The following is an 11,269-nucleotide window of genomic DNA, read 5'->3' as shown; positions in this document are numbered from 1 at the left end:
GCAAAAGCAGAAACCCCTTATAAAACCATCAGATCTCATGAGACTTATTCACTACCATGAGAACAGTATGGGGGGATCCGCCCCCATGATTCAATTATCTCCCACTGGGTCTCTCCCACAACCATGGGCATTATGGGAGTACAATTCAAGATAAGATTTGGGTGGGGACACAGACCAAACCATATCACCGCCTAAGCTGCCTGGCTGTGCTTTTGTTGCTACCCTGCCCAGGCCCTCCCCTTGGGCCCAGGAGAAAGAGTGTGTGTGTTTTATCCCAGGAGAGCTCTGGCCACCCCCAGCTGGTTTTCTGTCCACACAGAGGCCCAAGTCTGTGGACACAGTCACACTCAGGCCCACAGATCCACATGGGATCCCATGCTCCAGGCAGGCCTCAGCATGGGCAGAGTGAGCCCAAGCTTGGAGGTCCACCCAAGCAAAGAGCCTTTAAGATGAAGAGGGAAAAAATGAAAGAATTATTAATACAACTAAATAAATCAGCCATTATGGGAAAAATCTGAGTTGCGTGGACTTCCAACACTCATCTTACGGGTTAGCATTGCTTTTGTTTTGCATCCTGTATGCAACACACCCTCCCTCCAACCTGTTTAGTGCTCAGGGCCTGGGTAAGTCCTAATCAGGTCTGGAGTGTCAGGTGAAGAGGGGCAATGTCTCAGCCCACCCTGGGGTTCAGGCCTGCCGCTCCTCTATCCCCAAATCCCACACTGCTCCTGGTTCTTTCTCTAGACCCCCTTCTGGGGACCCCTGTCCTATTCAGGCCAGGGTTCAGAGTTCAGAGAGGAAGATCCCCAGGGGAGTACTTGGCAAGCCCAACTGCCAAGGGTCTGGGCAGATAAACAGGAAAGACTCTCTGCTCTACTCCTCGTGAGCCCATTCTGCAGAAGGAGCTGCCCTGGCTCCATCTGCAGCATGGGCTCAAGCTGTGTTCCTGGGGTTCCTTTCTCCACCATAGTCACCAGATATGAAAGTACAGTTGCCACTCTGAAGAGAGTACAGATGGACGAATTACAGTGAAATGCAGTTTTGCCATTCAACCTTGGAGGAGACCTATCATTACTTACTAAGTTGAACCCAGACACCTCATTCTGCTGTTTAAATGAACCGTAATGGCCTTGGATCTGTTGAGTAAGTTGGGTAAGGGGAATTCATTAAAGCACAGAGCCCTCCCAGGCATAGATGGGGATGAACCAGCAGGACTCTCCTAGCTGGGAGGGGTGCTGGATCAAATGGCCTGGCTGTGTTCTCATAGTCCCTTCTCTAGGTCCATTACCACCATGGTGGGCACTGTCTCTCCTTCAATGCCCTGGTCCTGTGAGGTTTCACCTCTCCCTTAGTCACCGCAACAGAACTGAGCCAGGCTGGTGTCTCTAAAGAGATTTAGAGACACAATGACTAAGAAATAAACACAGGTTGCAGGAAGTCTGGAAAGAACCAAGTTTCTGAAGATTAGTTTTCTGGCACTAAACTAAACCCATCAGCTGCTGCAGGGTCCTTCCTCCCACTCCCTGGACCCTAGAGCCAGCTTCATCAGCTGCATTTCATATTCTTCCAGGACAAGCCCCTGCACAGTGAGGGTCAACCTCTCAGACTCAGTGAGGTCTTTCTCCTCAACTCTAGCCTGAGGGCTTGGATAGCCATCAGCCCCAGAGATGTCCCAGGCCCCCCTAAACAGGCCACCAGCTCCACCCTGCTTGGTGCTAGATGTGAGGACCTGCTCAGACTATTGCAACCCATGTGCAAGGAAGCTGTGTGGTTAGGCCTTTTTGGTTGAGAGTAACAGAAACTCATCCAAGTAAACTTTAGTGGGAAAAATAAATATATTTTTAAGATCTAGGGATACACATAGAATGCAAGGATTTCTAGAAGAAACTGGAATCAGGGACGAGGCTTTCTCTGCCTTGTGTCTCTGTTCTTCCTCCTCCCACCCTGCACAGCAGCCTGTCTGCTTCTCCAGGTCCCATGGGAGAAGATGGATGCCCCACTCATGCCTTTGAGTGTCCATGTCATAGATCCAGGTATCCCCCAACATGATCTGACCTTCCCTTAGTCCAATTCCAAAATTTCAAAGGGAGACTCCAACTTGCTAAGATACAGTCAAATCAGCTATGGCCAGGGACGGGACCAAGTCGCATCAATATGCTCAGGAGCAGGTCCCAGAGAAGAGTGGCCACTGCAATTTGGGCAGAAGGTTCATCCACAGAAGTGCTCTGACCTTAGCCCAGCCAAGACAGAGCCTAGGCCACCCCATAACCAGCCTATGCCTATAGGGAGGAAAAACACTCATAGGAACAGGAAGCCTATTCCCTTGTAAGCTCTGATGATAATGATGTCACCTTGGGACACAAGGCCCCCTTCTCCACCATTCAGTAGGTGGAGGGAGGATGGGGCTTCCGTAAATATCAGAAGCACCATCACAAAGCTCCAAGCTGGAAGCAACCTTACAAAGTTATACAGATAGCGCTAGAAGAGAGGTGAGACTTGTCCAAGTGACAGGATGATCCTTGCCTCCCTGCCTAGTACTCTGCCCAGTAATAGAAGAGCCACCTGCAGCAAGAATGATTCTCTGTGACAACAGTGAATTCAGAATGTTTGTCAGAGGCCACCGAGGATCGTTGGAGGCAAACTAACATTGTGCATCTCTTTTGATGGAAACCTGTAGGGACATATCCAACTCTAGAGTGTTGAGGGAATTGGGGCAAAGGGGATCGACTTGAGCCTTGATTCTAGGATGAGCCCTGCCTAGCCCTTTGAGACATGCAACAGAGAGAGGGAACACACACACAGAGAGGGGCGGCGGGGCGGGGTGGGGGAGAGACAGAGAGATTTCCAAAGCAAGCGCAGATCATCAGAATAGATCCAAAACCCGCAAAAAGATTCCGAGACTCCACAGTGATAGTGGCGTGCTGGGAGCTGTCCTGAGTGCTGACCTGGCTGGCCCCTTCTCTAAGGATCGTCTATCATTGACCCTAGAACATGCTCTGCCAATTGGACTGCTCTCCAGTGAGGTCTTTGTTCAGCAGTGACCCCGGCATATTAACCTACAGGGTGTTGTATGGTGGAGACGATGGGTACAGGTTGCCCCTCCTCACCCATGGTTAGGCCCCAAGCCAACAGGGCCCTCTCACCCGGACTCCCTCCAGGCTTCCCCCTTGGAACCATCCCCAACCTCATCCGAACAATGTCATGAATTTTTCCTCCTTGATGAACTTCAAAGTCTTTTAATGACTCTTCATAAAGGAACAGTGGGGCCAAAAGTTGAGCAAAGGAGATGATTAAAGTACCTTATTAAAAGCAGCCTTGTAGAATTCTCCACATGAAAGCAAGCACCATTATGAGGGCTTATCCTTATAAATGACGCTTCGCTTTTGCGAACATGCTGAAACCTGATTAGAGTGACAAGCACTGACTGATACTGCAAACCTGTTAATAACATGAAAATTAGAAGAGGCTCATGCAAAGAAGGGAGATTAATTTAGCCGGAGTACATCTCGCGCAAATTGCAAAGTTGTGAATATGTTCTCAGATAATGAGCCTTCCCAGTCATCAGCTCACTTGTCATTTTCTGTAATTAATGTTAAGGAAGACGCCTTCCTGATGGTTCGTATTACTCATATACCAAGAAAATTTCTTCAGAGAAATAATTTACATTTATTATCATCGGTCTGTTTGTGTGGTTTATTTCGCGCCGGAGTAATTTATTGCAGGACCGTTTGCCATGCCTTGATTAGTCGCTCGTCAGGACGGGATGTAATTTTTTTTGCTTGATGGCGACGTCTAAAACTTGACAGTAGTGTAACACTCCTTCTTGTCTCCGGATGGGTTTTTTCACTTAAATAAACTTTGGGGCCGAGTGCCCCCAGGCTGTCTCCCCAGCAGGATGAAGCCTCGACACATGGCATGCCTGCCTGCTTCCAGGAGCAGCAAAGGACTCGATGCCATGCCCCTCCAGGAGGTTCTAGGCCACCCGCCTCACCTAGGGCCATGGCTGGAGCTTGAGTCCAAGAGTTTACTTCACCCTCTCTCATTCCACTCCTGTTCAGGATGAAGAAAGGTTTGCTGTCTGCCCTCAACTCCACACTTGCCCTGTTATATTCCTTCTCCCTCAGGCCACCTTCTATTGTAGATTCCTCTGGAATTGCCTTTCCCCCAATATCTGGTTATGTATTTCTTTCAAACAGCAGAGGAAATGCTGCAGACAAGGTTCTGTCTCCAACACAAGGCAAGTCTTTTATTCTACGTTGGGTTTCATTCCCTGGCAGCATAGCACACTGGGGAATGTGGGGCTGTGTCTAATAAACCCACCTGCCCCACCTCCATGTCTTTTTCAGGTCCCACTAAGACCCAGGATGCTAGGAGGAGGGGGTAACATGGAGGAATAACAGACCCTTATAGAACAGAGCTGAGTTCATCTCAACATGACACCCTGAGCCACCTTGTCCCCAGGGTCACCGACCGGCTCTGCACTCTGAGTCCTCAAGGAGTAAGGACACTGGGGCCATAGCTCTCCAGGACAGTTCCTTCACTGCTTTCTCTGTCTGGCTTCCACCGAGATGAAACAAAATGGCCCTCACAGACACTTAGAGTGTACCATTCATTGTGCTAAGCTCTTCGAATGCATTAGCTCATTGGATCTTTAAAGCCATTGGAGGTAGATATTATTGAGAATGTTCTACCCATGAAGAACTGGAGGTTCACGGAAGTCAAGCGGTTTGTTAAACGGCTCAAGGTTAAAGCAAACCACAATCATCACCATCATCATCACCATCATCACCATCATCACCATCACCATCATCACCATCACCATCATCATCGTCATCATTGCAACTAATGTTTACTGTGTGCTTCACTGTCAGGTCATGGGCTAAACACTTCATGGGCACAGTCTTGTAGGAGATAGGTATGATTATGATTCCCATATAAAAGATGAGAAAACTGAGATACAGAGAGTTTAACTCACCTACCTAAGGTCTCATAGCCAGTGAGTAGTGGAGCGGGGTCTGACACACACAACAAAACGTGCATCCATGCCCACGGCACTCCACTGCCTCTCTGGAAATACATTCTTCCAGTCCTTTCAATGGGTTCCCAGCAGAGCCCTTCAGCCTTCTTTTCTCCCCCTCCCTCAATCACCCCATTTCTTACCCCAGGTCTGAACTCGAGAAGCATTCTGCCAATCTCCCCAGCAGGGGTGGCCAGGCCGTGAAATGCACAAACAGATGCAGTTAGCATGAGTTACTGACCCTTGCACTGCAAATGAGGCAGACGATACAGATCAAGGTTCGCAGACAGAGATAATGATTTTTTTTATTAGACGTCTTCATCCCGAACCAGTGGCGTGGCGCTGGGTCGACCAGCAGCGCACCGCTGGTGTCGGTTAATGATAATCTATATTTATAAAACGATAGTCCATCAAAGTGGGATGAATATTTTAGAAGCCACAGACAAATCAAATTGTCTTTGTCAAATGGGCGCGTGCTCCGGCACTGAGCGTGTTTTATGGCTCTTTCTGGGGTGAGAAGCGAAGGGTTCCTCTCGCTGGCTAGAGTGCTGCCTTCCTCACTGAGGCTGGGAGATGAAATCTGTGTCTCCACTATTTTTAAAAACCCAATGAGCTGTGGAGATTGACATTAGCGCCAGAGAACTGTACTTTGTTTGATGAAGTTAAAAAAGAATGTATGAAATGACATAGCAGCATCTTTGTGGGAGAGTCCATTTACACTTAAAGAAATAAATTTGTTCCTTTGGAAGTCTCAGCTGGAAGCGGGGGAAGGAGAGAGGAGACAGGCTGAGGCCATGGATTTCAGAGAGGAGATGGAGCAGTTGGGTAGGGGGAGGGTAAGAGGAAAAGGAAGAGGAGGATGTGGAGAGGTGTCCTGGGCCTGGACTTGACCTCCAGAGGAAACAGAGCTACTGTGCCAGAACCACTTTCCCCAGAGTCAAGAACTCTTGTTCCATTACAAAACCAGCTATACGAGCTTGGGCAAGTCATGTCCCTTTTGTGAGCCTCAGTTTCCCCATCTTTCCAATGAGGAGAGAAATAGCTCCTCCATGGGCCATTGTGAAGACTTGGTGGCCCAACCTGAGTAAAGCCCTTCATGGTCACCCACACATAGTTAGGGCTTCAGGGAATGTTATTTCCTTTCCTCTGTCCCATCTAGCAGGAACCCAGACACCACCCTGCTAAATCTGAGCTCTGGCCACCACCTACCCAGGACAATATTTACGAAAGTAACAGCCACTCTTCACCAAGGGCTTTTCGTGTGCCAGGTGCTGTGCTAGGCACTTTACACTCATTATTTAATCTTTTCGAGACTGTAGCAATGTTGTCCAATAGAAATATAATGTGGGCCACATATATAGCTTTTAAAATGTAAAAATAGGTAAAATTGCTTTTAATAATATATTGTATGTAGCCCAATAAAACAAAAATATCATTTCAATATGGACTCAATATTAAAAGTATTGACCAGGTATTGGCCGGGCGCGATGGCTCACGCCTGTAATCCCAGCACTTTGGGAGGCCAAGGCGCGTGGATCACGAGGCCAGGAGATCGAGACCATCCTGGCTAACACAGTGAAACCCCATCTCTACTAAAAAATACAAAAAATTAGCCAGGCATGGTGGCAGGCACCTGTAGTCCCAGCTACTCGGGAGGCTGAGGCAGGAGAATGGCGTGAACCCGGGAGGCGGATTTTGCAGTGAGCCAAGATCATGCCACTGCACTCCAGCCTGGGTGACAGAGTGAGACTCCATCTCAAAAAAAAAAAAAGGTATTGACCAGGTATTTAACTTTTTTTCATACATGTGTTCCCTTTACACGTACAGAGCCTCTCAGTTCCCACCCACCACGTTTCAAGCGCTCAATAGCCTCATGTGGCCAGTGTCTGCTATATTTGACAGCACAGATATAGAACAGTTCCGTCATTGTAAAAAGTATTGTGGGAGAATGAAGCTCTAGAAGATAGACAGAATTATTATCTCCACTTTCCGAGGTGGAAAGAAACTCAGTGAGGCCCTAGGTCACACAGCTGGTAAGTGGCAGATCCAGGAAGCTGGGTGTGACTGTCACCACAGCTCATGTCCTTCTTAGCTACACAGTCTCCTGAAAACCCTGGTTTCTCTCTGTGTCCCCCAGGGCCCAGGGGCTGGCCAAATGACCTCTGACCTCAACTCATTAGGACAACCTAACCCCTGAGAAGTCTAGAGACATAGCAGAAAGTCTATGTCTCTCAACAATCTATTGCTGCATCACAAAAACCCCAAAACTTAGTGGCTTAAAACAATCCTATTTCTTATGATTCTGTAGGTCATGGGGATGGGTCATCCCTGTTCCACGTGGTATTGACTAGGGTGGCTTGACAGGGGCCTAAGGGGCCCAGGCTGGCCTCTCTCACACAGACGCAGCTGGCACGGTTCAAATATCTGTATGCTGCCTGGGACAACTGGGTCCCTTTACCTATGATGTTGGCTGGAGCCTCAGTTTTCACTCTCCTGGCCTCTATCTCCACGTGGCCGCTCCTCCTGCAGGGTGACTTGGACTGATTTACACGTCAATTTGTTTTTCTCTGAGCTGATGCGGAAGCTACAAGGTCCCTTCAGGTCTGAGCTCAGTAATCTCAAGACATCCCTCCTGCCACATTCCATTGGTCAAATCAAGTCAGGCAGCCCAGATTCAAGGATACGGGGAAAAAGACCCCACCTGTTGAAGGGAGGAAGGCATGTGCATGCAGAGATGGGAGGAATTGTTGGCAGCCATCTTTGCAGAGAAACTCTCACAGAATGAGTCTCTGGGCCATGGAGACAGGGGCTGGAGTTTGGGGGCTTCTTGGCCCAGCCTCACTCTTGCTGATCCTCAGAGCACCTTGCCCTGTGTCAAACAATTTGCTGACATGGGCGGAGAAGCTTTCCTGGATGAAGTGTCACAGCAGGCTGAGAAAGGGCAGGGACACGGGAGGGAGGCTGTTTGCTAGGCTCCTCCCTCAGGGAGTCCAGAGACAGCATGAGTCTGAGTGCCACCTCAGACAATGACAGGAATGCAGAGCATTCTGGAACCTTCAGGACTCCACAAAGACCAACCAATAAACCTTTCAAGGTCAAAACAGTCTAGGAGCTAAAGCTACTAAGAAAGAGACAGCTGGAGGTAAGATGGCCCGTACTGGGAGAGAGACCCCAGAGGAGAGAGCAGGTGGAAGGGGTTTCAAAGTGGAAACCCACTTTGAAGAGAGTACTGGGGTCCAGGAGAAGAAAGTCAAGGATGCCTGGAAACGAGGCATTGGACCAAGACATGGAACCCAGGACACAGACGTGGAACCCTGGAACAGGTGGGTGGTCAGTAAAGAAAACAATGAATGGCCGGGCGGGTGGCTCACACCTGTAATCCCTGCACTTTGGGAGGCTGAGGCAGGTGGATCATTTGAGGTCAGGAGTCTGGCCAACGTGGCGAAACCCCATCTCTACTAAAAATACACAAATTAGCCAGGTGTGTTGGCATGCACCTGTAATCCCAGCTACTCGGGAGGGTGAGGCAGGAGAATCACTTGAATCTGGGAGGCAGAGATTGCAGTGAGCCAAGATCACGCCACTGCACTCCAGCCTAGGCGACAGAGCAAGACTCTGTCAATAAATAAATAAATAAATAAATAAATAAATAAATAAATAAATATCAAGATCCTTGGAAATGTATAAAGTCCTTTCATTAGAAAATTGGAAGGCAGAGGGGGCAGCCTACGCATCCCAAATATTCCCTGTCAAGTTGTGATATCAGGAAGCAGGAGTTACTGACTTGTTCTGTTTTTTAATTTTTTTTATACTTTAACTCTAGTTCATTATTTAAAACTTAAAATTTCTATTTTTATCAGAGAAAATTTTACTGTTCAAAATTATACAAAAATAGAGAATGCAATTTAATCAGCCCCATCTACCCATCACCCAGCCTCAACAATTCCCAATTCACAAGCAATCTTATTTCTAACTATAACTTCCGCTCCTGATTCCTAGATAATTTTGAATCAAATATCAGACTTCCCATCAACTCATTTGTTATTTCAGGTGTATCTCTACAAAATTCTTTAAAAGTCTCAAAATGCCATTATCACACCTAAAAAATTAATAATAATTCTTTCTTGTCATAAAATCCAGTTAAAGTTTATATTCACCAAATTGTCCTGTAATTTTTTCTTACAGTTTTTTTAAATTAAAATCCAAATAGTCCAGCCACAGTGGCTCATGCCTGTAATCCTGACACTTTGGGAGGCCAAGGCGGATGGATTGTCTGAGCTCAGAAATTCAAGACTAGCCTGGGCAACATGGTAAAACCCCATCTCTATAAAAAAGACAAAATTTATTTTGTATTTTGTATAATTTTGTATTATTTTGTATAATTTGTACAAAAATTATTTTGGTGTGGTGGCGTGCATCTGTAGTCCCAGCTACTTGGGAGGCTGAAATGGGAGGATTGCTTGAGCCTAGGAGGTCGAGGCTGCAGTGAGCTGTGATTGTACCACTGCACTCCATCCTGGATAGCAAAGCCAGACCCTGTCTCAAAAACAAAAACAAAAAAGTAAAATCCAAATAAAGTCCATCTGCAAAGTTGCAATTGACGTATGCAATTAAAAGTATGATCTCTTTTATATATTCTGTTCCACTCTTCTGTTTTCTTTGAATGTTTTATTGAAGAAACCAGATCATTTGTCCTGTAGAATATCTACTAGTCTGGACTCTGCCAATTGCATCCCCACGATATTTTTTAGGATGTTTCTCCATCCACTATATTTCCTATAAGTTGGTAGTTGATCTAGGGTCTTGGTCAGATTTTATGTTATTATTTTTTCAGCACTACTCCATAAGTGCTGTTGCACACTTTCATCAAGAGATAATGTCTGGTTATCTTTTCTTGTCTTTTATTTTTTTGAGACAGGATCTCACTCTGTCACCCAGGATGCAGTGCGGTGGCATGATCATGGCTCACCACAGCCTTGACCTCCCAGGCTCAGGTGATCCTCCCACCTCAGCCTCCTGAGTAGGTGGGGCTACAGGCACACACCACCATGCCCAGCTAGTCTCAAACTATGTGCCCAGGCTGGTCTCAAACTCCTGGCATCAAGCGATCCTCCTGTCTTGGCCTTCCAAAGTGCTAGGATTACAAGCATGAACCACCATGCCCAGTCGCCTTTATTTTCTTTCAGGGATGTTTGAAGCTCATTGCCTAGATTCTTTATTTCATTAGAGATTGCAAAATAGTTATATTCTAATTTGTATCTCCCTCCTCATTTATTAGCTGGATAACATCTATAAAGAGAAATTTCCCATCATCAATTAATTGGTAACCTGAAGTAAAGTTCATATGTTAATGGCAGCATGAGCACCTTATTTTTTCTCTGTATTTACCTGTTTTCAAAATAATCCAATGGCTCTCGAACGTCCTCCAAAGATGACCTATGAGGATTGGTTTGGTTTGGTTTAGTTTAGTATCATTGTAAACTCATGGATTTAAACATATTTGATGTGCTTTAATCCATTGCAGCTATTATCCTTGTGTTCCAATCATTAGCCATGGACCCTTTTTCAAGTTTGCTTCCGGGTCTTTGTATCTACAATCTTGGAAGTCTTTGATATATCTTTGCTTTCTAGAAAGACAAGACATTCCAGGCTTACCTTGTACATTTCCTACCTTAGATCTCAAATCAGTCATTTCTCCAAGGAATCCTGGTTTCTAGGGGAAAAAATGTATTTAGAAACCATAATCCGAGTACTGGGAGTGCTCAGTGCTACTGGATTTTTCACTGTTTTTACTGCTTTTCAGTAGGCAGAGATAGGCAATGTGTCTTCTCTTTAAACATTTTTAGGTAAAATACATTATGAATTTATACTACTTCCAACTCAAATTCAGAGTTTTTATTTAACTTTATAGAACTTATATCTGCATATCCTTTTTTACATGCAAAAAAAGATCCTAGTCCTCAATGAGACTAACACAATTACTCACTTATTTTATTTCACTCTGTGCACACCACAGTCTTAGAATGACAGGACCAACACTTCACCAACAATGTGATTATGGAAATTAGCTTAGGGTTGTTTTTACAGTTCCTTTTACCTTTCATGTATACCCCACTGGTAATGTAAAGCCAGATTCCTATATTTTAAAGTCACTTGGGATAGTTGCTCTTTTTGTGATTATGTCACCAATGGTCACACATTTAGGTTGAGCCTGGGAGGAGGAGGTTGCAGTAAGCCATGATCACACCACTG

The 11,269-nt window shown here is 46.1% G+C and overlaps 1 annotated feature.

Moving 5' to 3' along the window:
- Window positions 2,758-4,246: an enhancer, noted in NCBI's record as "VISTA enhancer hs987". NCBI's record gives its function as "enhancer in: forebrain[4/5]" and the evidence as "EXISTENCE:transgenic organism evidence [ECO:0001131][PMID:17130149]".

The sequence above is a fragment of the Homo sapiens genome, chromosome 9 (genome assembly GCF_000001405.40).
Source record: "Homo sapiens chromosome 9, GRCh38.p14 Primary Assembly".
NCBI classification, from domain to species: Eukaryota; Metazoa; Chordata; class Mammalia; order Primates; family Hominidae; genus Homo; species Homo sapiens.
This window is presented reverse-complemented; position numbering and strand designations above follow the sequence as displayed.